Source organism: Homo sapiens, chromosome 2 (assembly GCF_000001405.40).
Source record: "Homo sapiens chromosome 2, GRCh38.p14 Primary Assembly".
NCBI lineage: Eukaryota > Metazoa > Chordata > Mammalia > Primates > Hominidae > Homo > Homo sapiens.
Window position 1 is genome coordinate 65575666 of NC_000002.12, and position 27946 is coordinate 65603611.

Sequence of the window (27946 nt, forward strand, 5' to 3'; positions counted from 1 at the left end):
GACTGCTTTCAGGGCTCCTCTCATCATCACGGTTCCCTCTCCAAATGCTCTAGATGTGGTTTGTCTTAATAGTTGAATGGTTGAATAGTTGAATGGTTGAAAATAACAGAGCCCTCCTTAAAGCAGGTTAAACAGAAAAGAGAATTTACTGTAAGGTTACATAGGTGGCTATAAGAGTAGGCATTCAATTTTTTGTCTTTTTTTTTTTTTTTTTTTTTTAGATGGAGTCTCACTCTGATGTCCAGGCTGGAGTGCAGTGGTGCAATCTCGGCTCACTGCAACATCCGCCTCCTGGGTTCAAGCGATTCTCCTACCTTAGCCTCTCGAGTAGCTGGGATTACAGGCACCTGCCACAATGCCCAGCTAATTTTTGTAATTTTAGTAGAGACGGGGTTTTACCATGTTGGCCAAGCTGGTCTCGAGCTCCTGACCTCAGGTGATCCACCCACCTCAGCCTCCCAAAGTGTTGGGATTATAGGCGTGAGCCACCACGCCTGGACTAATATGAGTTAGAAGTAAATGAACTAATTCAGGGATAGACACTTAATGTGAACTCAAGCCAGGAAGTAAGGAGCTTTCCCCTGACAACAGTGATTGAGATAGGAAAGGGGACAGGTTTAGGTTAGCACAATTAGTACGAAGTCAGGCCTTTGCTCAGTGACTGTGGGAGAAGAAACTCTTTGTCTGGTCAGTATACATAGCTGTGAGGTCTGGAGCTGTAGCAACCACTTGGTATCTTGAACAAAGCTAGATTTGAGATGATGCTGACACAGGAGAGAAGGCAATTGATGAAAGAAATGCAGAGCCAGAGCCCTGATCCAGCCACTCCTGAACCCATCACTACATTAAACTTCCCAAGTATAGCAGTGGTTCCCACTGGGGGCAATTTAGCTCCTGAAGGGATATTTGGCAATATCTGGAGACATTTTTGGTTGCTACAACTGGATGGGTGCTCCTGGCACCCAATGGATAGAGACCAAGGATGCTGCTAAATCCCCTATAGTATATAAGAGAGCACTCTTTCCTTTGCAACATAGAATTATCTGGCCCAAAATGTCTGTATTGCTGAGGTTGAGAGACTCTGACCTAGAGATTTGATTAGATCTAAGTTCTTTTTTGGGCAAGGATGCTTTGTAGGCACTGTGTACTTGCTTTTACGTCACAACAGGCTTGTTCTCTTGGCTTTTCTGGATTTCTGTACCTGCCATTGCTCCCCTCTCTCAGTGCCTGGTGAGCCCCTCCCTAGCCTCTCTCACAAGCCCAGTGGGCTGCCTTCTCCTTGTAAACTCTCCACACCCTGGCTCTTCTCACTATGGCATTTGCTGGGCATTTTGGGGCTCGTTGGTGTGTGTTTGGCCCCCACTGGGCTGGAGATCCTGGGAAGGCAGGGACTCAGTCTATCTTCTCTCGTGCATTCAGGACACTGGGACTGGTAGATCCTGATATGTAAATAAATCAATGACAAACGAATGACTCATAACTCGGATATTTGAGTTGGTCAGAGGCAATGTCTCTTTCTCTGTGGGCAGGAACTGAATCAACACAGTGGAATTTTCTTTTTCTTTCTTTCTTTTTTTTTTTTTTAGACAGAGTTTCGCTCTTGGAGTGCGATGGTGCGATCTCAGCTCACGGCAACCTCTGCCTTCCGGGTTCAAGAGATTCTCCTGCCTCAGCCTCCCAAGTAGCTGGCATTACAGGCATCCACCACCATGCCCAGCTAATTTTTGTATTTTTAGAAGAGATGGGGTTTCACCATGTTGGCCAGGCTGGTCTCAAATTCCTGACCTCAGGTGATCCACCCACCTCGGCCTCCCAGAGTGCTGGGATTGCAGGTGTGAACCACCGTGCCCGGCCAACACAGTGGTATTTTCACAAGTCCATTCACCTTTCAGCAGTAAAATGATGTAGCAAGATCATCCATCATATATACAATGGAATATTATTCAGCCTTAAGGAAATCCTGTCATAGGCTACAAGGATGTAGGTTCAAGCGATTCTCCTACCTCAGCCTCCTGAGTAGCTGGGATTACAGGCGCCTGCCACAATGCCCAGCTAATTTTTGTAATTTTAGTAGAGATGGATGAATGTGGAGGACACTATGCTAAGTGGAACCAGCTAGTTGCAGCAAGACAAATGCTGCATAAGTCCTCTTATATGAGGTATCCAAAACAGTCAGACTCTTAGAAACAGAAAGTAGAGGTAGAGTGGTGGTTGCCTGAGGCTGAAGGGAGGAGGAAAAGAAGAGATGTTGTTCAGTGGGTATAAAATTTCAGTTTTGCGAGATAAAAAAGTTCTAGAGATCTGCCGCGCAGCAATGTACATAATTAACATTAATGTACTGCATACTTAAAAGTGGTTAAATGGGCTAGGTGTGGTGGCTCATGCCTGTAATCCCAGCACTTTCAGAGGTCGAGACAGGCAGATTGCTTGAGGTCAGGAGTTCGAGACCAGCCTGGCCAACATGGAGAAACCCCGTCTCTACTACAAAATACAAAAATTAGCTGGGCGTGGTGCGCGCCTGTAATCCTAGCTACTCAGGAGGCTGGGGTAGGAGAACCACTTGAACCCGGGAGGCAGAGGTTGCTGTGAGCTGAAATTGCACCACTGCACTCTAGCCTGGGCGACAGAGTGAGACTCCATCTCAAAAAAAAAAAAAAAAAATTTAAGATGGTAAATCTTTTTTTTTTTTTTTTTTGATACGGAGTTTCACTCTGTCACCCAGGCTGGAGTGCAGTGGTGCAATCTCGGCTCACTGCAACCTCTGCCTCCCGGGTTCGAGCAATTCTCTGCCTCAGCTTCCTGAGTAGCTGGGATTACAGGCGCCCACCATCATGCCTGGCTAATGTTTTGTATTTTTAGTAGAGACGGGGTTTCACTATCTTGGCCAGGCTGATCTTCAACTCCTGAACTCGTGATCCACCCTCCTCAGCCTCCCAAAGTGCTGGGATTACAGGTGTGTGTATGTGTTTTTGAGACAAGGTCTCACTCTGTCAGCCAGGCTGGAGTGCAGTGGTATCATCATGGCTCCCTGCAACCTCCGCCTCCTGGGCTCAAGCAATCCTCTCAGCTCAGCCTCCTGGGTAACTGGGACTACGGGCACATCACCACACCTACCTAATTTTTGCATTTTTTGTAGAGATGGGGTTTCATCATGTTGGCCATGCTGGTGGTCTCAAACACCTGAGCTCAAGTGATCCACACGCCTCAGTCTCCCAAAGTGTGTGAGCCACCATGCCCACCTGGCCTAAGATGGTAAATCTTATGTCCTGTGTTTTTTAAAACCATAATTAATAAAAGGTATTTGGTGAGAATTAAAAAAAAATTACCCCCTGGGAAAGGTGGCTCACACCTGAAATCCCAGCTCTTAGGGAGGCAGAGGCAGGAGGATAGCCTGAGCCCAGTAGTTCACTACCTGCCTGGGCAATATAGCAAGACCCTGTTCTTGAAATCAATACATCAATAAAAAATAAATTGGCTGGGTACGGTGGCTCACACCTGTAATCCCAGCACTTTGGGAGGCTGAGGCAGGTGGATCACATGAGGTCAGGAGTTTGAGACCAGCCTGACTAACATGGTGAAACCTCGTCTCTACTAAAAATACAAAAATTAGCTGGGTGTGTTGGCAGGCTCCTGTAATCCCAGCTACTCGGGAGGCTGAGGCACGAGAATTGCTTGAACCCAGGAGGCAGGGGTTGCAGTGAGCCGAGATCAAGCCACTGCACTCCAGCCTGGATGACAGAGTGAGACTTTGTCTCAAATAAACAAACAAACAAACAAAATAAAATAAATCACCCATGGAGGCTATACCTTGGGAGACTTGATTGGATTTAGGAGGCAGGGCTCAGGTGGCTTCTCTCATTGTTTTGTGCTGATTTATAAGGTTTCACCTACTTGTTTCAGAGGTGACCTTGATATCCAATTCCAGGACACCCCACTGAGTCTCTCATGCTGTTTGAACCTCCGCCCCAGCCCTGACCATGGTGTGAGCTTCTCTCTGTCACTCAGCCACACTGACCCAGGAGGAGGGGTGGATGCCCAGACCCTGGGTCACACTAGATCCAGAGCTGTGGTCCTAGGGCAGCAGGAGACTCCTAAACAGAAGGGGCTCAAATTCTCCCTAGTGGTGGAAACAGTCGAGGTGGCCTTTTCCACACTCTGCAGCGGAGCCTCCTGCTTTTTAATTATGAGATACCCCAAGGCGTGCTCCTGCCCCTTCGCGCAGAGTATCTCGGTGCATTCTTCCAATTGCTGGTCTGAGCCACCGGCAAATGGCTCGCTCCAGCTCTGCAGGGGTTTTCACACCTGGTTTGTGGCTCCTCCAGCCTTCTCCGCTCCCCTCTGAGTCTGCCTTTTTCCTGGGCCTGCCAACCAGTTAGCACCTCTGCTGAACAAAAGGCCTGGAGCAGAAGGGGCCCTCCTCCCCACTGTCTCAGGGAACCAGGCTGGAGAACAAAGGAAGACAGGATGCCCATCCTCCTTCTCCCCCTCCATCCCTGCCTCCCTGCCTCCTTTTCTTTCTCCACAGGATTCTTTCCTCTTCTGAGAAGCAGCCTCAGAGCTGGCTGTAGAACATCCAGAAACAATCAGGAAGAATAACTGTCTCCCTCTCTCCGACTTCCTGCTCCCCACTACCCATACCTGTGTTGGGTATGTGTTTTGCTAGCAATGTTTAATGTCACATGCCTGCACTTTCCCCTAATCCTAATATCATGTTACTTTTTTTTTTTTTTTTTTTTTTGAGACGGAGTCTCGCTGTCGCCCAGGCTGGAGTGCAGTGGCGCAATCTCGGCTCACTGCAGGCTCCGCCCCCTGGGGTTCACGCCATTCTCCTGCCTCAGCCTCCCGAGTAGCTGGGACTACAGGCGCCTGCCACCTCGCCCGGCTAATTTTTTGTATTTTTAGTAGAGACAGGGTTTCACCGTGTTAGCCAGGATGGTCTCGATCTCCTGACCTCGTGATCCGCCCGCCTCGGCCTCCCAAAGTGCTGGGATTACAGGCGTGAGCCACCGCGCCCGGCCCATGTTACTTTTATAACATAGGTAAACTAGCCTTGGAGATGTGATTATAGGCTTGAGGGGGAAAAAAAAGGTTTTAAAATTGTGAGATTAAGATGTGTTTATTGTAAGAATAATTAGAAAATAGAGAAAAGGGAAAGGAAGAGCAATAAGAACCGACCATTAAAATGTGCCACCTCAGATAATCTGAGCTCAGCCGCCTGGGTTTACCAGAAAGCAGAGCCCGAGAGGAAGCTGGGGTGAGGGACAGGGGACTGAGGTAGGGCAGGGGAGTTTCAGAAGAAGGATGCATATTTGATTTGGCATTTGACCAATGCTGTAGGCAACTCGTTGACCTCTCAAGAGCCCTGTGCCACTTGAAATACATATTGGGAACTTTCATGAGGAGAAGAGATGGGAAAGCACTTATCCACTTTCTTTTTTTTGAGATGGAGTCTTACTCTGTCACCCAGGCTGGAGTGCAATGGTGCAATCTGGGTTCACTGCAACCTCCGGCTTCCAGGTTCAAGCGATTCTCCTGTCTCAGCCTCCAGAGTAGCTGGGACTACAGGTGCGTGCCACCACACCCAGCTAATTTTTGTATTTTTATTAGAGACAGGGTTTCACCATATTGGTCAGGCTGGTCTTGAACTCCTGACCTCAGGTGATCCACCTACCTCGGCCTCCCAAAGTGCTGGGATTACAGGTGTGAGCCATGGCACCCGGCCAGCACTTACTCACTTTCATTCCTCCGTTCAAAGATTTGCCTATGGGAGGTCACCTCATCTGCATTTTTGGGTCATGCATGCATGAACATTGAGTGAGTGTGTCACAGAGAAAACAGACTGGGGAGACCACTGTGGGCCTGAGTTTGGTGCTGTAGGAACTGGTCTCAGTGGACTAAGAGACAGGTGAGATTCAGAGGTGGTGCACAGTGGGCATGGTAGATCATACTTGTAATCCCAGTTGTGTGGGAGGCTGAGGCAGGAGGATCGCTTGAGCCTGGGAGGTCGAGGCTGCAGTGAGCCGTGATCCCACCAGTACATTCCAGCCAAGGTGACAGAACGAGACCTTGTCTCAAAAACAAACAGCTGGGTACAGTGGTTCATGCCTGTAATCCCAGCATTTTGGGAGGCTGAAGTGGAAGGATCGCTTGAGCCTAGGAGATCAAACCTAACCTGGGCAACATAGGGAGACTCTGTCTCTACAGAAAATTAAACAAATTTAGCCAAGCATTGTGGGGCATGCCTGTAGTCCCAGCTGCTTAGGAGGCTAAGGCTGGAGGATTGCTTGAGCTAGGAATTTGAGGCTGCAGTGAGCCATTTTGTGCCACTGCACTCCAGCCTGGGCAGCAGAGCGAGATCCTGCCTTAACAAAGAAAAAAGTGATGTGCAAGAGGTTACATTTTGGTATACAAAAATAGCAACATGTCCAGCAGTTACTATAAGCTAGACCCAGTACCAAGTGCTTCACATGGATTTTCTCATTTCAGACTCCAGTAACCCTAGGAGGAATACTGTTATTATCCCCATTTTCGACGTTAGAAAAGTGTGGTTCAGAAAGGCTAAGTTTACCCAGATGACCCAGTTAAAAAGGGTAGATCCAGGATGCACACCCAAGCTTTCTGAATCGGGTCCACTCTTTCGCCTTTTAATGATTGGTGCACATTTATCATCTGGGTTTGCCCAGCCTCCATTCTGGCTTCTTGTTGGTTTGACTGAGTGACTCTCTTTCTGTCTCTCTGTTTAGCCTTCTGTGGTGTCAGTTGCATTTTAAATTGGCGAACAACCCCCACAGAGTCACATGCTTACCTGCCCAGGTCCAGGGAGACGGATATAGAGAGACGTTTCCCCCAGAATTTCAAGTCATCATCTGATTGGCCCGGCCCAGATGGCCTGCTCATTCATGAGCCAATGGCTGTCATGAGGGGAACAGAATAGGCCAATGGGCTTAGGTCAGTTATCACTCTGGTGGGATCCACTTTCCATAAATAATAAGTGGAGGGGCAATGGATACATATTAATCTGGGTTTCGTAGGAAGAAGGGAGTGGGGGAGGGATGGTGGGTAGGTTATCCTTTGGCCATTTGGACAGCTTGTTTTCAAACTTTATTTTAAGCAATCCATGCAAGAATGGCAGGAACAGTTAGAAGGCGCGTTGAAGAGGAGGCCACTGACCCAGGCTCTCTGCTGGTTCTCCCTTGTTGAACATCCTGCTTTATGACCTTCCCTAAGCCTGGTTCTCTCGTCTGTCTAATCTAAAAACAGCCTTCTCACCCTTGCTACTTCTTTTAATAATTTCTTCTTTGCCTCAGTTTGCCAAGTAAGGTTGTATTGCTTTTCACCCAGAACCCTGACTGATGCATGTTGGATTTCTGAGGAGACACAGTAAGTTAGATCCTACTTCCCCATCTGTGTCCAAAGCAGGGAAATCTGGCCAAGCGTACAAATGGAGACCAGGACACCTTCTTTATTACCGAAGAAGGAAAAGCTGGAGGTCTTACTTAGTGTGGGAGCAACACAGGGCTGCAGACCGAACCCCAGAATGAGACAGATGTAGCCAGTTAGGCACAGATGGCACCGTACTGGGTGTGATCCTCACCCGGAGGAACAGCAGAGAACAGCAGGGACAGCAGCCAGATCGCTCCCAGGAGTAAGGAGTGGGGAGTGAGCCCGGGATGCCTTGTTTATTCTTCCCACATTTACCACCAGGTAAGCCGTTTCTCCTCCCCGATGTGGAGTGAGTTAAAAGCGATGGAGAGAAACCAGGAGAGTTTTTGGAACATCCTCACCACTCGTTTCCATGAGAAAGGATGTTTTTAGTAGAGACGGGGTTTCACCATGTTGGCCAGGCTGGTCTCCAACTGCTGACCTCAAGAGATCTTCCCATCTTGGCTTCCCAAAGTGCTGGGATTACAGGCGTAAGCCACCGTGGCTGGCTCATAATTTGTTAAATAATCTCTAGTTTTGAATATGTAGGAACTTCCCAGTTTTTCACCATTATAAATGCTGTTCTTCTCTTTGCCCACATTCCCAATGATTTCCTTAGAATATACATAGCAGTGAGATGACTAGTGCTAGAAGTGATTTTTATTTTTTATTATTTTTAAAATTTTAGAAACAGGGTTTCCCTCCGTTGGCCAGACTGCATTGCAGTGGCATAATCATAGTTCACTGTGGCCTTGAACTCCTGGCCTCAAGTGATCCTCCTGCCTCAGCTTCCTGAGTAGCTAGAACTACAGGTGTAAGCTATTGCACCCAGCTCTAGAAGTGATTAGTGAGTCAAAGGAATTTTTTTTTTATTTTCCTTTTGAAATCTTCAGCAAAAAGGAATTTTAAGGTTTCAAGATGTATTTTCCATTTTTTTTTGTGGCAGAAGCATTGTGTTAAATTATGTGTGTGTGTGTGTGTGTGTGTGTGTGTGTGTGTGTGTGTGTGTGTGTTTTGAGACAGAGTCTTGCTCTGTCACCCAGGCTGGAGTGCTGGAGTGCAGTGGCATGATCTCAGCTCACTGCAACCTTCGCCTCCTGGGTTCAAGCGATTCTCCCATCTCGTCCGCCCGAGTAGCTGGGATTATAGGTGTGTGCCACCACGCCCGGCTAATTTTTGTATTTTTAGTAGAAACAGGGTTTCACCATGTTGCCCAGGCTGGTCTCAAACTCTTGACCTCAGGTGATCTACCCGTCTCAGCTTCCCAAAGTGCTGGAATTACAGGCGTGAGCCACTGCACCCGGCCTAAATTACATTTTTACTGGTGGTGTGTGAGAAGGTTTCTGCCCATTTTATTTTTATTTTATTTATCTTGATCTGATTTAACTTTATTTGTTTATTTTTTTCTGAAAAACCACCCCTTTCTATTTAGAGAAGGCCTGACCTACATAGTTAGGTAGAAAATGGATGATGAAAACATCCCAGGATAAAAACCAAACAAGTAGGCTGGGCGCGGTGGCTCAAGCCTGTAATCCGAGCACTTTGGGAGGCTGAGGTGGGCGGATCACGAGGTCAGGAGATCGAGACCATCCTGGCTAACACAGTGAAACCCCGTCTCTACTAAAAATACAAAAAATTAGCTGGGCGTGGTAGTGGGCGCCTGTAGTCCCAGCTACTCGGGTGGCTGAGGCAGGAGAATGGCGTGAATCCGGGAGGTGGAGCTTGCAGTGAGCTGAGATCGCGCCACTGCACTCCAACCTGGGCAACAGAGCAAGACTACATCTCAAAAAAAAAAAAACCAAACAAGTATGGAAGGGCTCCTTAAACAATACAAAGAACAGGTTTTGTAGTTCCTCCCTTTTTTTTTTTTTTTTTTTTTTTTTTTACAGAAAGCAGAGATTGCAACTAAAGGGAATTTCTGCTCATTTTATTTTATTTCATTTTTTTGAGACATAGTCTGGCTCTGTCGCCCACGCATGAGCGTGGCATGATCTTGGCTCACTGCAATCTCTGCCTCTGGGTTTAAACATTTCCCATGTCTCAGCCTCCCCAGTAGCTGGGATTACAGGTGTGCGCCACCATGCCTGGCTAATTTTTGTATTTTTAGTAGAGACGGGGTTTTGCTATGTTGGCCAGGCTGGTCTCGAACTCCTGACCTCAAATGATCCGCCCACCTCGGCCTCCCAAAGTGTTGGGATTACAGACGTGAGCCACCGTGCCTGGCCAAATTTCTACTCATTTAAAAAGTCTTACTTGGTGGGAAAAACTTATTGTTTTAATGTGTACCTTTTGGTTAAATAAGGTTGGATATTACTTTATATTCATATATTTATCATATATTTTCCTTCTTTTGTCTTATTTGCTTACATTTTTAGTGGTGTGCCTTTTTCCTATTGAGTAAAGAGGTCTTTGTTGGGACATCAACCTATTTTTGTCAAATATGTTGCAGTTATTTATCTCATTTGTGGTTTATATTTTAATATTATTCAATATCTTTGACCTACAAAATTAAAAAAATTTTAATGATCATTCCTATTAATTTTATTGTTCATGGTTCTTATCTTTGATATTTTGTCTGCAGGGTCTTTCATTTTTTTTTTGAGACAGAGTCTCGCTCTGTTGCTCAGACTGGAGTACAGTGGTACGATCTCGGCTCATGGCAAGCTCTGCCTCCTGGGTTCATGCCATTCTCCTGCCTCAGCCTCCCTAGTAGCTGGGACTACAGGCACCCGCCACCACGCCTGGCTAATTTTTTGTATTTTTAGTAGAGATGGGGTTTCACCGTGTTAGCCAGGATGGTCTCAATCTGCCGACCTTGTGATCCGCTCTCCTTGGCCTCCTAAAGTGCTGGGATTACAGTCGTGAGCCACTGCGCCTGGCCAGGGTCTTTCATTTTTTTAAAGAGACTATCAGATCTCTGCGAAAGTCTAAGTGTGGGGCAATATGCTTTTTCTAAATACTCTGTACCTTTGCTCACTGAATGATTTTTGTGTGTGTGTGTGTGAGACACAGTCTCACTCTGTCACCCAGGAGTGCAGTGGCATGATCTCAGCTCACTGCAACCTCTGCCTCCCAGGTTCAAGCGATTCTCCTGTCTCAGCCTCCTGAGTAGCTGGGATTACAGGTGCATGCTACCACGCCCAGCTAATTTTTTTTTTTTTTTTTTGTATTTTTAGTAGAGATGAGTTTTCACCATGTTGGCCAGGCTGGTCTCGAACTCCTGACCTCAGGTGATCTGCCCGCCTTGGCCTCCCAAAGTGTTGGGATTACAGGCGTGAGCCAGGTTGCCTGGCCCAAATAATTTCTGTTTCAGAATCATTTTTATTTTCCTTTGGCTGTGTAAAAGAATCCTTGAAATTTTTAAGCTAGCACTGAACATACAAACACTACTTGCGTAATTCTCCATATCTCTGATTTAAATTGATAATCCACTTAGGATGTGATAAGAAGTTTAAATGTTAATTCTCCAATGAGGTATTAACTAAAGATCCTGTGCTCAGACAGTCTATAAGTTCATTTGTTCAACTGCGTAAAACAGTAGATTCCATGATTGCTGCTCAGGGGTGAATTCCGTGGTCAGATCCCAGGCTGGGAGTTGCAAGGGCTATCATCAATCTATTTTCTCCTTTTCCTAACAATTATCAGCACTAACCACACAGAGATTAATGGGCACCAGGCAGTGGAAAGAGGGCAGTCGACACTTCGTTGAGATTGTGTTTTCACAGATCTGTCACTGTTAACTCCAGTGACCCTCCAAATTAGTTACTGCATTGTCACTGGGGCCTTCAAGCCAGGCTTTTTGAAATGTCCTTGGGATTTTGTGGGCTATCCTTTAGTTTCTGTTATGTCTACAGGTTTCAGGGATATTTACTAAATCCAGAATATCCTGTATCAGTGCCTCTGTCCTCCTCATTAAGTCCAAGAGAAGCCATCAGACATAGTCCTGGTGTACTTGAACCCTGAAGCTTCCCAAAGGCAGGGGATGGATTCCAAGAGGCCAGGAATCCTTTTTATCTTTATTTATTTATTTATTTATTTATTTATTTATTTATTTATTTATTTTGAGACGGAGTCTTGCTCTGTTGCCTAGGCTGGAGTGCAGTGGCACCATCTCAGCTCACTAAAAGCTCTGCCTCCCGGGTTCACGCCATTCTCCTGCCTCAGCCTATTAAGTAGCTGGGACTACAGACGCCCGCCACCATGCCTGGCTAATTTTTTGTATTTTTAGTAGAGATGGGGTTTCACCGTGTTAGCCAGGATGGTCTCGATCTCCTGACCTTGTGATCCACCCGCCTCGGCCTCCCAAAGTGCTGGGATTACAGGCGTGAGCCACCGCACCCGGAAGGAATCCTTTTTTTCTTTTGGGGGTTCTCCAAATAACTGGCTCAGAAAGTTACTGTGGGTGGTCTACTTTTATATTAAGCTTCCTGCAAGCTTCCTTGGAGGAAGTCCCCGTTTATTTGTATATTTATTTTTAAGGGAGTTGTGCTTTTTCCAGGTCTTGATATAATGTATTTTACATCTCACATAAAAGACCCCTCTCTTGCATAGTCACTCCCAGGCTTGGCTTAGGGAAATCTGGACTTTTTCTGTTAATTGCTTAATAAAAAGAATAGCTCCACTGGTAAGTGAATGAGAGCCACAAAAACTGAAGACTGGGAGAGAGTCTTTAAGGGGATCTGAGGCAGCTCTGAGAGGAGCGGGTGGGGTGGACACTTGCAAGAACTGTGAGGCTTGATGTCCATGTAGAGGCTAAAGTAAGACTTAGGGTTTGGGGAGCTGAGATGGACAGTCTCCAGCGATCTGCATATGTGTGTGTGTGTGTGTGTGTGCGTGTGAGTGCATGTGTCTTTTGGGTGAGTGAGAGGTATGTGTCTAGAGTATTCAGTGTATTAGGTTCCTGCTGCTGCTGTAACAAATGACCATAAACATAGTGGCTTAAAGCAACACAAATTTATTAAAGTTTTAATTTATTTTTTTTTAGAGACAAGGTCTTGTTCTGTCACACAGGCTGAAGTACAGTGGTGCAGTCATAGCTTACTACAGCCTCAAACTCCTGGGCTCAAGGGATCCTCCCATCGCAGCCTCCTAAGTAGACAGTACTACAGGTGTGAACAACTATGTCAAGCTAATTACAAAAATTTTTTTTGTAGGATGGAGTCTGGCCATGTTGCCCAGGCTAGTGTCAAACTCCTGGCCTCAAGGGATCCTCCTCCCTTGGCCATCTAAAGTGCTGGGACTTCAGACATGAGCCACTGCCCCAGCCACAGGTTTATTCTCTTACAATTCTGGAGGTTAAAAATCCTAAAATTAAGGTGTCAGTGGGGCTGCATTTTTTCCAGAGGCTCTATGGAAGAATCTGCTTCCTAGACTTTTCCAGCTTTTTTTTTTTTTGTAAGGGACGGAGTCTCACTCTGTCACCCAGGCTGGAGTGTAGTGGCACGATCTCAGCTCACTGCAAGCTCCGCCTCCTGGGTTCACGCCATTCTTCTGCCTCAGCCTCCCGAGTAGCTGGGACTACAGGTGCCTGCCACCATGCCTGGCTAATTTTTGTATTTTTAGTAGAGACGGGGTTTCACCTTGTTAGCCAGGATGGTCTCCATCTCCTGACCTCGTGATCCACCCGCCTTGGCCTCCCAAAGTGCTGGGATTACAGGCATGAGCCACCACGCCCAGCAACTTTTCCAGCTTTTAGAGGCTGCCTGTGTTCCTTGGCTTGTAGCCCCTTCTATCTTCAAAGCAGCAGAGTGGCATCTTCAGGGCTCCCTCTCACCCTCTAGCCTTGTATCTCTTTTGACTCTGGTGCTCCTGCTTTCCTCTCATAAGGACACTTGTGACTACACTGGGACCCTGGAATAATCCAGGGTCATCTCTCTATCTCAGAATCCTAAACTTAATCACATCTGCAAAGTCCATTTTGCTATGTAAGGTTATATAATCACAGGGTTTGGGGTTAGGGTTTGGGCATCTTTGGGGAGCCATTATTCTGACTTCAACATTCAGTATGACAGATCTACTACTACCTTCACTTTACTGCAAAGATCCTCAGAGAGAAATGAGGATGATGATGGCAGTGGTTCATAGTACCTTATGTTAGATAATGATATACCATTTACAAAACTCTTAGGATTCGTTTCAAGCCCACTCAAGTGTAGTTGGATGACACTGGGACTTTGAGTCAAGAGCCCTGATTTCATCATTTACTAGCTGTATAATCTTCAGGCGATTTACTTAACCTCTTGAGGCTCAGTATTCCTATCTATAAATTGGGAAAATGTGATCAGTGGGAAGAACTGGCTAGATGATGGCTAAACTGAGAATCTTTGAATGTTTTACGTGACAGTTTTCTTTGGGGAAGTGCTGTCTAACTCTTTGCAGCCTGGGATGAATTTATAAATGTGGCCAGACTTTTTTTTTTGTTTTTCACTCTCCATTTGTGTTAGTTCAGATCATCTGAGATGCAGACACCAAAATGGAATTAGACACACACAAGATTTATTGGGGAAAATGTGGCAGAAATGGGGAGAGAATGAAGGAGGCTGAGAGAGCCATCAGACCACATACAGGTCTGACATCTGTGGAGGAGAGAACCAGGGTGGAGCTGGGACTTTCTGGAAGAGGTTTTGGGTGAGGTGGGCTGGCATCATTTTATGGTGGGCCTTGGATAAGGTGCAGCAGAGGGTTCTTGGCAGAGGAGTAATTCAATCCCAGTTGGCTTTTAGGAGGGTTATCCTAGGATAGAGTAGGGTGCATTAGAATGGGAAAGCACATAGCCAGCAGTCATCCTGGGCTGCTGCAACATTCCTTAGGTGGGTAGTGCTAAGGTTCTGGATCAGGTTAGTGACAATGAGAATGGAAAGGAAAGAACAGCCAAGTGCAATTATCCATCCCGAAGAGATAAATGTCTCCCATTCCTCCCTGCCAAATAGAACCATCGGAATGTGTTAAATCAGTTGTTATTGCTAAGGGGTCAGTAGATGTTTACCATGCTGTTAGATGATTACTTTGAAGAATGGTGTTCATTTTGCATCTATTGACCCCATCCCAACGTGGGCTGATCTGATAGCTTCATTGTGCAGTCCATTCTTCTTCTCTTTACTTTCTTTCCTCTTAGGCCTAAGAACTCAATGGAATTTATGTTAGCAATAGGAATGATCAGGGCAAGGCATCTCTCACTCTTTGATAGAAGATAACCCATCAAACATGAGTTTTGCTGATTTGCAGCTATTTCAATTTATCATAACAGCTGAAGTTACTGATGCTTCATTAAAACAAAGAGAGGGAGAGGTGGAGGGAATGTAAGTTTTTTTTTCCCTCCCTGAGATGGAGTCTTGCTCTGTTGCCCAGGCTGGAGTGCAGTGGTGCGATCTCGGTCCACTGCAACCTCTGCCTTCCAGGTTCAAGCGATTCTCCGGTCTCAGCCTCTTGAGTAGTTGGGACTACAGGTGTGTGCCACCAAGCCTGGCTATTTTTTTTTTTTAAACATTTTTAGTAGAGATGGGATTTTGCCATGTGGGCCAGGCTGGTCTCAAACTCCTGATCTCAGGTGATCTGCCCCCTCAGTCTCCCAAAGTGCTGGGATTACAGGTGTGATCCACCTCACCCGGCCCAAAAATGTAGGTTTAAAAGATCATCCCTCTTGCCACGAATTTGACCTGAGGATGTTTGACCTTGAATGTACTTGTTTGTAAGTGTCATTAGGCAGCCATAGATTCCAAAGCAGGTTAGAGTGGGAACAGGAGAATGGCTTGAGTGACCTGATAGAGGGAAGTTCAATTGAGCATGCAGAACAGGCACGAAAACTTATGGTGACATACAGTAGAAGGGAGGGGAGTCTTGATGGGTGGATAGAATGGCGCAGCAGAGCGTAGCTGGATGTCCAGGCAGGTTGACTGCTTCATGACTTCCGGCTGCTGGGCTGGGTTTAGAAATGGAATTCTAGTCTTTGGGCTGGAAAAACAAGGCAAGGTTTTAATCCTAGAGAGAATTTACATTACCAATAGAGGTTCAGAAAGAGTGAACAAGACATGGGCCAGGAGCTGAGGTTCAAGGTCATAGCTATAACAGGAATGCTGGTGAGTGTCCACTACGTTGGCCTCTTCAGTTTCTCATGTCCAAGATTAAGCTTAGACTAGGGTACTGAGACAGGGCTGGCCTATTAGATGGCAGACCAAGGACCCCAGTGGGAAGGAAGAGGCCAGTAGCCAGGGTCACCCAAGTGGTGGATTTTCATAACATTGAAGGCAACATAGGTGTAGATCTCAAACTTAAGTAAGAGTCAGAACCACCCAGAAGGCTTGTTAAAACACAGATCCCAGGGGCCCATCCCCAGAGTTTTAGATACAACAGGGCTGGGCTGGGGTCTAAGAATCTGCATCTCTAACATGTTTTCATGTGATGCCCATGCTGTGGTGCCAAGCCCACACTTTGGCTGTGTTTCTCCATATTTATTGTGTATTTTAATAGCCTGTGTTTTTTTTTAAACTACTGATGCCTGAGTCCTACCCTCAGAGATTCTTTTTTAAAATTTCTATTTATTTATTAGAGACTGGGTTACGAAACTGGCTAATTTTTGTAGTTTTGGTAGAGATGGGGTTTTGCCATGTTGCCCAGGCTGGTTTCAAACTCCTGGGCTCCACCTGATTCGGCCTCCCAAAGTGCTGGGATTACAGGTGTGAGCCACTGTGCCTGGCCCCCTCAGAGATTCTTATTTAATTTGTCTGAGGTTCCCAGGTGATTTCAGACTTTAAAACCACTGCTTTAGATCCTGATAGACTCTGACCACACTGCTTTTTTTTAAAAAAAAAAAAAACAAAATTTATTCTAAAATTTCCATATAGTAAGAGTTAATTCCTTTGGTATTCAATTCAGTGAGTTTTTGACAAATGCATAGAGTCATATAACCCTGATCATAATCATGACATGGGCCAGGAGCTGAGGTTCAGGGTCATAGCTAACAATGGGAATGCTGGTGATGGTTCTATCACCCCCGAAACCTCATGCTGTCCCTTTGAAGTCAATTCCTCTCCCATTCTTTACCCAACGCAACCTCTGATCTGTTCTTTGACACTATGATTTTTGCCTTTTCCAGGATGTTGAAATCTAAATGGCATCATACAGTATATTGCCTTTTGGGTCTGGCTTTTTTTTTTTTTTTTGAGAAGGAGTCTTGCTCTGTCACCTAGGCTGGAGTGCAGTGGCGCGATCTCAACTCCCTGCAACCTCTGCCTCCCAGATACAAGCTATTCTCCTGTCTCAGCCTCCTGAGTAGCTGGGACTATAGGCCCCTGCCACCACGCCTGGCTAATTTTTATATTTTTAGCAGAGATGGAGTTTCACCTTGTTGGTCAGGCTGGTCTCGAACTCCTGACCTCAGGTGATCCACCCGCCTCAGCCTCCCAAAGTGCTGGGATCATAGGCGTGAGCCACTGCACCTGGCTCAGTCTGGCTTCTTTAGCTTAGGTGAATGGATTTCAGATTCATCAATAGTCTGTTCTTTTTTATTGTTGAGTAGTATTCCATCATGTGCATGTATCACAATTTGTTGAATATACCAGCTAAAGGATATTTGGGTTGTTTATAGTTTTCAGTTATTATAAGCTTCTATGAACATTCATGTAAAGATTTTTGTGTCACCACAAGCCTTCATTTTTCTAGGATACACACCTATGAATGGGACTGTTGAGTCATATAGTAAGTATATATTTGATTTTATAAGGAAATGCCAAACTCTCTTCCAAAGTGGCTGTGCCATTTTGCATTCCTGCCAGCAATGTATGAGAGTTCCAGTTGCTCCATATCCTTCCCAGTACTTGGCACTCTCATATTTTGGTTGGAGGAGCATTCTAATAGGTGTGTAATTCCTCACTGTGGTTTTGATATTTGCATTTTCCTATTGACTGATGTTGAGCACGTTTTCATGTGCTTATTTGGTATCCAGTTATCTTCTTTGGTATATATTTGCTTTTCTATCAGGTTTTGTTTCATGTATTTTCAGACTGTTATTAGGTATATACACATTTAGAATTGTTATGTCTTCTCAGTGAATTGGCCCTATTATCATTATACCATGTCTCTTTATCTCTGTGAATTTCCTGTTTTGAAGTTGAATTTTTCTGATACTAGTGTAGCCACTCCAGCTGTTTATTTATTTATATATTTGTTTGTTTGTTCATACAGGGTCTTACTCTGTCACTCAGGCTGGAGTGCAGTATCATAATCATAGCTCACTGTAACCTTGAACTCCTGAGCTCAAGCAATCCTTCCACCTCAGTAACCTCCTGAGTATCTGGAACTACTGGCATATGCCACTATGCCTGGCTAATTTTTTTTTTTTTTTTATGTAAAGATAGGGTCTCACTATGTTTCCCAGCCTGTTCTCAACCTTTTGGCCTCAAGCAATCCCCATGTTTTGGCCTCCCAAAGCTGGAATTATAGGAAAGAGGCACTACATCCGGCCTCAACTTTTTAAAATTAATAGTTGCATTGCATGGCATATATTTTTCATAATTTTATCCTTAACCCATCTATATAGTTATATTTAAATATTATTTTGTAGATAGCATATGCTGCTTTTTTTAAAAAAATCTAATCTGAAAATCTTTATCTCCGAATTGGCATATTTAAACCATTTATATTTTATGTGATTGACTAAGTGTTTAGCCTTTTCTTTTTCTGTTTATCTTAGCTATTTGTTCCTTTTACCCTCACCACCTTAACATTACAGTTGCCATAGGTATTGTATCTGTGCATATTGAAAACCCTACTAAACACTGTTCTAATTTTTGTAAATAGTTATAAATATTTCAATGAATTTAAGAGGAAAAAGTAGTCCATTATGTTTACCCAGACATTTATTATTTTATTGCTTTTATTTGTGTAGTCAATAATAACATAAATTTTTATTAAAAAGAACCAACTGGAAATTTTTGATCTGAAAAATACAATATATGGAGTTAAAATATTCACTACATGAACTCAATAGAGAATGGAGATGACATAGAAAGGAGTCAGTATACTTTTAGATAAATCCGTGGAAATGATCCAGTCTGAAGAATGGAGAGAAAACAAGATTGACAAAAAAGAACAAAGTCTCAGGTACTTGCAAAGCAATATCATCTGGTATCACTTTTCTTCAGCTTTTTGTGTTTCTCTAGCATTTCTTTCAGAGCAAGTCTGCTGGCAATGAATTATATTAGTTTTCCTTAATCCAAAAATGTCTTTATTTTCTTCCATTCTTGAAGGATATTATTGCTGACTATAGAATTATCTGTTGACAGTTCTTTTCTTTCAGTACTTTAAAGAAGTTCCACTTCTTTTGGGGAGAAATCTGCAGATGTTTGTTCCCTAGATATAATCTGTTATTTTTCTCTGGCTGCTTTCAAGACATTTTCTTTATTTTTATTTTTATTTTTTCCAGCACTTTGATCAGGATGTGTTGGGTGTTTTTATTTGAGTTAATCCTGTTTGGGATTCATCCGAGCATAAATTTGTAATTTATGTCTTTTACCAAATTTGGAAAAATTTCAGCCATTATTTATTCAGTTTTTTTCTGTATTAATCTTTTTCTCCTCTTCTGGGACCCAAATGTAGTGAATATTAAGCTTCTTTATATTGTCTTGTAGGTTCCTGAGACTTTGTTCTTTTTTTTCAATCTTGTTTTCTTTTTTTTTTTCTTTTTGAGATGGAGTTTTTCTCTTGTTGCCCAGGCTGGAGTACAATGGCGCGATCTTGGCTCACTGCAACCTCCGCCTCCCAGGTTCAAGCAATTCTATTGCCTCAGCCTCCTAAGTAGCTGGGATCACAGGCATGCACCACCATGCCCAACTAATTTTGTATTTTTAGTAGAGACGGGGTTTCTCCATGTTGGTCAGGCTGGTCTCAAACTCCCGACCTCAGGTGCTCCGCCTGCCTCAGCCCTCCCAAAACGTTGGGATTACGGGCGTGAGCTACCGTGCCTGGCCCTCTCTATTCTTTAGACTGGATAATTTCCATTGATTTATCTAAAAGTTTACTGACTCTTTTCTGTTTTTTTTTTTTTTTTTTTGTTTTTGTTTTTTTGACACAGAGTCATGCTCTCTTGCCCAGGCTGAAGTGCAGCGGCACCATCTTGGCTCACTGCAACCTCTGCCTCCCAGGTTCAAGCAATTCTCATGCCTCAGCCAGCCCAGTAGCTGGGACTACAGGGGCACACCACCATGTCCAGCTAATTTTTATAATTTTAGTAGAGACGGGCTTTTGCCATGTTGGCCAGGCTGGTCTTGAACTCCTGTCCTCAAGAGATCCTCCTGCTTTAGCTTCCCAAAGTGTTGGGATTACAGGCCAACTGACCTGGCCAACTGACTCTTTTCTATGTCATTTCCATTCTCTATTGAGCTCATTCAGTGAATTATTTATTTATTTATTTATTGAATTTATTTTTTATTTTTGTTTTTTGAAGGGGAAGGTTCAGTGAATTTTTAAACTTTCTGTATTGTATTTTTCAGATCAAAAATTTCCACTTGGTTCTTTTTAAAAAAGTTTATATTTCTCTGCTAAGAATGTCTTTTTATTCATTCCAATAGTATTTACTTTTATGGTATGATTATGTAGCATGGTTATAGTAGCTGTTTTAAAGTCATTATGTTGTAGTTCCAACACCTGAGTCATCTTGGGAATGGCATCTGTTGATTGTCTTTTTCCTTGAGATTTGATCAGATTTTCCTGTTTTTATCATGTTGAGCAATTTTGGATTGTATCCTGGATATTTTGAGTATTATGTTTCATGACTGTGAGTCCTGTTGAAATCCTCTGGAGAATATTGATTACTTTTCTTTGCTTTTGGGCAGATAACCAACCCCATTAGGTTCAGACTGGGAGTTCTGGCCCACATTCTGTGGGCAGTGAATCCAATATCAGTTCAGTTTTCCACAGATTTGTTATGCTGTTGGGTCTTCTCTGAACATGTGCCACTTAGGGATTAGTCTGGTGCTTGGCTGGCTCTCAAAGTCTTTGACATACTTCTTTGAGTCTGTTTCACATATGTGCACCTCAGACTGGTATTGGTGCAGACATAGAATTAGGGGATCCCTTCCTCCAACTCTCTGTTCTCTATGATTGTCCCCAGACTCTTCAGCTTTCCAGAGCCTTCTCTTCCCTATTTTTCTGGCCAGAAAGATGGATTTCTCTCAGTGTTAACCCATTCCCCCCATTCTCTCACATAATTCTGCACAACTGGGGCTGCCCTCAAGTTCAAAGTAGTGAGAGAAAAGAGAGAGAACAAATAACAGGGATTCCCTCCACACTTTTTGGAGCACAGGGACCCCCTTTTCCTGTGGCCAGAGAGACAGGCTTTTCTCTTGGGGTTTTAGATGTCTGTGTAGTGGTGGCAGTGCAGCTCAAAAACTGGGACTGGCCTTAGGTCAGGGCTGGAGAGAAAAATAAATAAATAAATAAACAAACAAATAAATAAATGGTTATTTCCCCCATACTCTCAGGCCCAGAGAGTATCCCAGTCATCTGGTCAGAAAATGGGGATTTCTCTTGGAGTTTTGCTGTTTATGCCTGCTTCACAGTTCCATAATTTGGTCCCCTTTGGGTTAATGCAGGAAGATAAAGAAGGAAACTCATTGTTGTACCAAAAACTCTACAAGTTTTGACTTTCCTCTTTGAGCTGTCTGCCATTGTTTACCTTTCAGAGTCCTCAGGTAGTTGCTTTTTGTGCTCCATGAGAATTTTGAATTGTAATTAGTGGGAAGGATAGGCTATGATGCAGTTTACTCCATCTTGGCTGGCACTAGAAGTCACCATGCTTCTTTGATCTAATGATCCATTCCCTCTGCTTTCTTCTCTTTAATCCAAGTAGAAAGGGGCTCCTCTTTTGAAGTTATGGCTATTTTAATTTACCTTAGACGGTTGGGCTCTTCCAGTGTCATCCCCTCTTCTCCTCTCTTCATAGCTTCCCTTTTTGAGAAAGCTCTTTGTTTGACTCCTCTTGGGCCTGGGCAGTAAATTTTGTGCTATACAAAATTCTCTGCTGTGTTTCTTCCACAGACTCTGTGACTCAAAGCTGTGCATAGGTCCTCAGATTCTTTTCCTGTTGGGCTGTCTAAGGCAGCCACTATACATGTGTATATATGCACGCGCACCCGTGCATGCAGTGCCTTGATCTCAATGGCTACGTCTCTTAACAGTAAACTCCCAAATCATCTAGGTCTAAAGGGACTCAGAGGGTACTAGAGATCTTTTCTGAAACCCTTCTAGTTCTTGAGGTGGGTAGGCAAGAGTGGCCAGAGTATGACCTTCTGATATCTAGTTTTGTGGAATGCATCACATAGTGTTTTATGTCATATTTTGGCACTGTCATTGCTTGTAGAATACCATTTTGGTCTGCCTTGCCTACCTCTCTTTGTGTGTGGATCCTAATCTTTCCAGAGAGTGTGGAGTTTTAATTGCAAAAAGGATGTGGATGCTTTAGAATCCAGGTGGATGGAGGTACTCTGAATATATTCTACTGTGGAGTGATTGTTTGCATCCATAAGCAACTGGATCTCCATTAGCAGTCTCCTTCAGTCCAGGAGTCCTCATGAATTGTGACAGAGAACTAAGTGTGGCACCGTCACAAACTCCGAGAGGAAACATTTCAACTCCCTCTTTGGCCTTTACTGGTAGCTCTGCCATTGGGTACTCTCCCTAAGGAAGGAGGCATTTCTGTTCAGGAAGGAGGAAGCAGGTATGGAAGAATTTCACTTTTTATTATTCCTGAGCCTTTAGCTCACTGGTCACAGGCCTAGGCAAATGACAACTTTCTGAGGCACCTGTTTTCTAGCCGTTTGTATGCTCCCCACTGCCATGGAGGCCAGCATGGATGTAAATAGATGTAGAAAATTCTACAAACTCTATTTAGTAAGTAACCAAGTAGAATAGTTGTTTAAACAAAAATCAGTGCCCAGGGATAATGATACATGCCATATTTTGCCCAGTGTGAGTGTATTAATCTTCTAGTTGAAGGAGTGAATTGGTATTATCCTGATATGATGTCATACTCAGAGTTTCCTGCCTCTATTTTCCATCTGGAGTGAAATCAAGAAGATTAGGATGTGAGCATGATCCTTCTTTTGTTCTGCATCTTATGAAAGACAAAACCCTTGTGTTTTGGGGTGATGTCATTTTCTTTATGAGAAAAGAGTATGAGATTAGTGCTTGTCCCCCACCTTTAAGTCTGGTTTTTGATTTAATTATCATGTAGAAGTAATTCTTTAGTAGGATGTTCTATCATAGCTTTAATGCCATTTCTGATTTTGCCTATGTGGACAGGGCCTGAGTTTCCTCCAAGTGTTCAATTAGGATGACTTACGAGAACAGAGTGGGGGAAATGACATCAGATATCATACCAAAGCCATTTATGCTATCAAATAATGATGTCTCTTTTCTAGAAACACATAATTATACTTGGAATTCATGATAATATTCTACAGTATTTCAAAATCCACAAACAGATAAAATATCAGAGGAAAGAAAATGCTTTTGATGTGTCAGAATTCATTTATTTTCCAACTCGTTGTGCTTTGCCTTACGGTACGTGAATGGGCACTTATCAAAGCATAAGAAGGTTATTATTATATTCCATTCTTATTCAATTCAAATATTCCATTCTTAACATTTGTCCAAATTCAGTTTAATATGCCCTATTAACATGAAGACTGTTGAGAAAGTATACCAAATAGGCTTCAGGAGGAGATCAGAAAACTAAATTAGGCTTTGTCCCTAAATATTAAAAAAAATTACTTAAGTTATAGAAGTAATCCATGAAGAGCTACTTGATATAAAAAAGCAAATTACCTTCTTAAAAAGCTAATAGCATGGGGTCAAAAATTCCTTTCCTGTAAATTTGGGAATCTATCTTTTCATGGCCAATATTCTTAATGTAGCATTTTTGATAAATAACATAATTTTGTAACTGCCCATTAAAATATGTAATTTATTATTTAGAATTCTCCTTAAAATATTTTGCATTTTGGTTTGCTCTCTTTAGTAAGAGGGAGATTTATTATGCAATCTTCTAAAGTGTAACACTTATTTTCTGCCCGTTAACTTGTCTGTGTTTATGCTTTGCTTTGTTGAATCAATCACTGTGGTGTTTTATGGTTATTTCCACATGTGTCTTAGCTCCCCAGCTAAATTGTAAGCTCCTTGAATAGTCTAAGTCTTTATCCTGTATTTCTTGCCTTCTATATCACTTGAAGGATATTACACACTATAGATACTCAGTAAATACTTTTCCTTATAAGCACAAATTGGCATTAGATTAGTTCAAATCTGCTACCCAGGAATGAAGCCCAAATGTTGCTTTTGGTGGGTGATAGGGGTCATATAAATCTTTGCTATCTCCTGGTTCAGTTGTGGTTTGACTAGTTCTTAGGAAAGAATAAAAAGTTCTGGATAATCAAAAGTGGTAATTTGTTGAATTTCATTTTATAAAGATTTTATTTGGAGAAGAAACAAAATCAGAGTATTTAGATTTGAGAGAGGGGTGAAAGACAAAGTTGCTATCTTTAAAAATGCTTTTCTCACCTCTCCTATTCTGATAATCTTATGCACATAAAATCATCTATGCAGGATGGTTTTTACCATTTTCTCCTCTTCTGATGATGGGCACTGTTTACGAAGGTGAAATAGAAAGCAGACTGGTTGGAGACAACATTAGGGTAGTTTTTCCATAGCGTGGACACGTCTCAGTTATTCCCAGGCCTTCATCTATTCATTCTTTCAGCAAGGATGTATTGATCACTGATTCCACGGCAGGCATTGCGCAGCCCTAGAAATACAGTGAGGGCAAGACAAACATGACCTTGCCCTCAGGGACTTGTATTATTGCACTCTGGTAAATCCTAAATATACTTCTTTTTTTTTTTTTTTTTTTTTTTAAATTGATCATTCTTGGGTGTTTCTCGCAGAGGGGGATTTGGCAGGGTCACAGGACAATAGTGGAGGGAAGGTCAGCAGATAAACAAGTGAACAAAGGTCTCTGGTTTTCCTAGGCAGAGTGTTTGTGTCCCTGGGTACTTGAGATTAGGGAGTGGTGATGACTCTTAACGAGCATGCTGCCTTCAAGCATCTGTTTAACAAAGGACATCTTGCACCACCCTTAATCCATTCAACCCTGAGTGGACACAGCACATGTTTCAGAGAGCACAGGGTTGGGGGTAAGGTCACAGATCAACAGGATCCCAAGGCAGAAGAATTTTTCTTAGTACAGAACAAAATGAAAAGTCTCCCATGTCTACCTCTTTCTACACAGACACGGCAACCATCCGATTTCTCAATCTTTTCCCCACCTTTCCCCCCTTTCTATTCCACAAAACCGCCATTGTCATCATGGCCCGTTCTCAATGAGCTGTTGAGTACACCTCCCAGACGGGGCGGCTGGCCGGGCAGAGGGGCTCCTCACTTCCCAGTAGGGGCGGCCGGGCAGAGGCACCCCTCACCTCCCGGATGGGGTGGCTGGCCGGGCGGGGGGCTGACCCCCCACCTCCCTCCCGGACGGGGCGGCTGGCCGGGCGGGGCGCTGACCCCCCCACCTCCCTCCCGGACGGGGCGGCTGGCCAGGTGGAGGGCTGACCCCCCCACCTCCCTCCCGGACGGGGCGGCTGGCCGGGCGGGGGGCTGACCCCCCCACCTCCTTCCCGGACGGGGCGGCTGGCCGGGCAGAGGGGCTCCTCACTTCCCAGTAGGGGCGGCCGGGCAGAGGCACCCCTCACCTCCCGGATGGGGTGGCTGGCCGGGCGGGGGGCTGCCCCCCCACCTCCCTCCCGGACGGGGCGGCTGGCCGGGCGGGGGGCTGACCCCCCCACCTCCCTCCCGGACGGGGCGGCTGGCCAGGTGGGGGGCTGACCCCCCCACCTCCCTCCCGGACGGGGCGGCTGTCCGGGCGGGGGGCTGACCCCCCACCTCCCTCCCGGACGGGGCGGCTGGCCAGGCGGGGGGCTGACCCCCCCACCTTCCTCCCGGACGGGCGGCTGGCCGGGCGGGGGGCTGACCCCCCCACCTCCCTCCCGGACAGGGTGGCTGCTGGGCGGAGACGCTCCTCACTTCTCAGACGGGGCGGTTGCCAGGCAGAGGGTCTCCTCACTTCTCAGACGGGTCAGCCGGGCAGAGACGCTCCTCACATCCCAGACGGGGCGGCAGGGCAGAGGCGCTCCCCACATCTCAGACGATGGGCGGCCTGGCAGAGACGCTCCTCACTTCCTAGATGGGATGGCGGCCGGGCAGAGACGCTCCTCACTTTCCAGACTGGGCAGCCAGTCAGAGAGGCTCCTCACATCCCAGACGATGGGCGGCCAGGCAGAGACGCTCCTCACTTCCCAGACGGGGTGGTGGCCAGGCAGAGGCTGCAATCTCGGCACTTTGGGGGGCCAAGGCAGGCAGCTGGGAGGTGGAGGTTGTAGCGAGCCGAGATCATGCCACTGCACTCCAGCCTGGGCACCATTGAGCACTGAGTGAACGCGACTCCGTCTGCCATCCTGGCACCTCGGGAGGCCAAGGCTGGCGGATCACTCGCGGTTAGGAGCTGGAGACCAGCCTGGCCAACACAGCGAAACCCCGTCTCCACCAAAAAAATACGAAAACCAGTCAGGCGTGGCGGCGCGCACCTGCAATCGCAGGCACTGGGCAGGCTGAGGCAGGAGAATCAGGCAGGGAGGCTGCAGTGAGCCGAGATGGCAGCAGTACAGTCCAGCTTCGGCTCGGCATCAGAGGGAGACCGTGGGGAGAGGGAGAGGGAGAGGGAGAGGGAGAACCTAAATATACTTCTTTGTAGAGAGGATCGTGAACTGCTTTAAGTCTGGTGGCATCAGAGGAAAAATTAGACATCTTCAGGTTGATTCCACAGAGCAGTTGTTTCCTTTTTCACTTGACTTACATAGAATTAAGTCAGGTTATATAAATAAATGTAAAATCAAGTTGGTTTTTCCATTGTAAGGAGAAAAATGCTTTCATATTACTTAAAATGCATTTCAATAAATATAGAAAATTACATACAAATGGCCGGGTGCGGTGGCTCATGCCTGTAATCCCAGAACTTTGGGAGGCTGAGGCATGCGGATCACCTGAGGTTGGGAGTTCGAGACCAGCCTGACCAATATGGAGAAACCCTATCTGTACTAAAAATACAAAATTAGCCGGGCGTGGTGGCACATGCCTGTAATCCCAGCTACTCAGGAGGCTGAGGCAGCAGAATCGCTTGAACCCGGGAGGCGGAGGTTGCGGTGAGCCGAGATTGTGCCGTTGCACTCCAGCCTGGAAAACAAGAGTGAAACTCCGTCTCAAAAGAAAAAAAAAATTTACATACAAATTATATACCCCACATGAGAGTTTCTTGTGAGGAATTATAGTCCCCTACAACTACCAAGTCCCCTACAAAAAACAATTTACCTTACCCCCGCTTTTTTTTAGTAGAAATTGACACTGGGTTGAGGGTGTCCTATGGAATGAATGAGTAAAACTGAAACATTCGACTTGTTAGAAGGAAACATGACCATGATTTCAAGGATGATCCAATGTAGCTTGGCGGCAGCCCCTGATAGCTCTCCTGCTATGTGTTTTTTTTTTGGTAGCAGTGATGGAGAAAACAATGAAGATGAAATTTCCAGGAAATAACCCAATCAGGTGTTGCTTAATGGAGTCTACTGTCATTAAAATCCAATTTGATTCATTTGGAGAGTGAAATATCACAATTGCAACTGCACCATAATGGCTTTTTGGAAGATGGAATTTGTATAAACTGGGTTAATCCCTTGATCACCAATTCAAATAAAAATAGATAAAACATGAGGAGGTTGGCAGGGGTGAAGGACTGGGAATAGCAACGGTGTTGCCAGAAGGTGTCTTTCCTGCCAAGGGGAATTGGCATAGGGAACCGTCTCTGAGCCCAAGTTCTGGAAGCCACAACCTGATGGAGACAGAAGACAGATTGCCTAGGTCCAGCTGGGGAGTGGAGCCCTGCTGGCCCAGCCAGATCACAAGTGAATTGCCCCTCTGACCTACACATGTGCTCTGTGTGTCGAAATTTGCATTTCTTTCCATTTAGAATTTTGCTTTCTATTAGCCCACAAGAAGTTTAATGGCTGTCATGAACAAGTTTTGTTGTGTTTTCCTTTGGAAATGTAGCTGTTAGGAAATCATTCAATGAGTTCTGGGTTTATACCTAGAAATGGTCCCCTGGAAGTCTGGAAGAGTTAGATGCTACCACAAGGTTCTACCAGACGTGCAGGGCATAACTTGTACACGCAGGCTGGGTCAGCCGTATTGAGTGGATTGCAGGAGGAAACCTTAACTATGAGGCTGCTACCTTGGACTTGAAATACTTTGACAATCAACAATTAGTGAGAATTGGGATAAGATTTGTTTCTCCTTGGCAAATTCTTCTAACATTCTACAAGCAAAATGGGATTTCAAAGGCAAGAATTGCTCAGTGATGACAAACTTTTAATTACCTCACATACAAAAGATTGGCATGGTATTTATGATTTTTAATATAGTCATTAAA

General features: G+C 44.8%; 1 long non-coding RNA gene across 1 annotated transcript, besides 7 other annotated features; it reads right to left on the bottom strand.

Annotated features, from left to right (window-relative positions):
- Positions 765 to 1964: an enhancer, noted in NCBI's record as "P300/CBP strongly-dependent group 1 enhancer chr2:65803564-65804763 (GRCh37/hg19 assembly coordinates)". NCBI's record gives its function as "activates an origin of replication core promoter dependent on BRD2, BRD4, P300/CBP, MED14 and CDK7 cofactors, with strong dependence on P300/CBP, by STARR-seq in HCT116 cells {active_cell/tissue: HCT116}" and the evidence as "EXISTENCE:reporter gene assay evidence [ECO:0000049][PMID:35650434]".
- Positions 1184 to 1683: an enhancer, noted in NCBI's record as "H3K27ac hESC enhancer chr2:65803983-65804482 (GRCh37/hg19 assembly coordinates)". NCBI's record gives its function as "activates a minimal SCP1, AML or CMV promoter by ChIP-STARR-seq in primed H9 embryonic stem cells {active_cell/tissue: H9 hESC(primed)}" and the evidence as "EXISTENCE:reporter gene assay evidence [ECO:0000049][PMID:30033119]".
- Positions 3400 to 4074: an enhancer, noted in NCBI's record as "NANOG-H3K27ac-H3K4me1 hESC enhancer chr2:65806199-65806873 (GRCh37/hg19 assembly coordinates)". NCBI's record gives its function as "activates a minimal SCP1, AML or CMV promoter by ChIP-STARR-seq in naive H9 embryonic stem cells {active_cell/tissue: H9 hESC(naive)}" and the evidence as "EXISTENCE:reporter gene assay evidence [ECO:0000049][PMID:30033119]".
- Positions 4075 to 4748: an enhancer, noted in NCBI's record as "NANOG-H3K27ac-H3K4me1 hESC enhancer chr2:65806874-65807547 (GRCh37/hg19 assembly coordinates)". NCBI's record gives its function as "activates a minimal SCP1, AML or CMV promoter by ChIP-STARR-seq in naive H9 embryonic stem cells {active_cell/tissue: H9 hESC(naive)}" and the evidence as "EXISTENCE:reporter gene assay evidence [ECO:0000049][PMID:30033119]".
- Positions 5818 to 5887: a silencer, noted in NCBI's record as "silent region_11584". NCBI's record gives its function as "represses an Ori minimal core promoter by ATAC-STARR-seq in GM12878 lymphoblastoid cells {active_cell/tissue: GM12878}" and the evidence as "EXISTENCE:reporter gene assay evidence [ECO:0000049][PMID:35858748]".
- On the bottom strand, positions 13901 to 26700 carry LINC03050 (long intergenic non-protein coding RNA 3050). The gene is made up of 3 exons (NR_182288.2): positions 25492 to 26700; positions 15240 to 15372; positions 13901 to 14154 (listed from the first exon to the last, which is right to left on the bottom strand). It is a non-coding gene; the product is annotated as a long intergenic non-protein coding RNA 3050 (long non-coding RNA).
- Positions 25392 to 25985: an enhancer, noted in NCBI's record as "H3K27ac hESC enhancer chr2:65828191-65828784 (GRCh37/hg19 assembly coordinates)". NCBI's record gives its function as "activates a minimal SCP1, AML or CMV promoter by ChIP-STARR-seq in primed H9 embryonic stem cells {active_cell/tissue: H9 hESC(primed)}" and the evidence as "EXISTENCE:reporter gene assay evidence [ECO:0000049][PMID:30033119]".
- Positions 25986 to 26579: an enhancer, noted in NCBI's record as "H3K27ac hESC enhancer chr2:65828785-65829378 (GRCh37/hg19 assembly coordinates)". NCBI's record gives its function as "activates a minimal SCP1, AML or CMV promoter by ChIP-STARR-seq in primed H9 embryonic stem cells {active_cell/tissue: H9 hESC(primed)}" and the evidence as "EXISTENCE:reporter gene assay evidence [ECO:0000049][PMID:30033119]".
- Positions 26701 to 27946: the final 1246 nt, after the last annotated feature.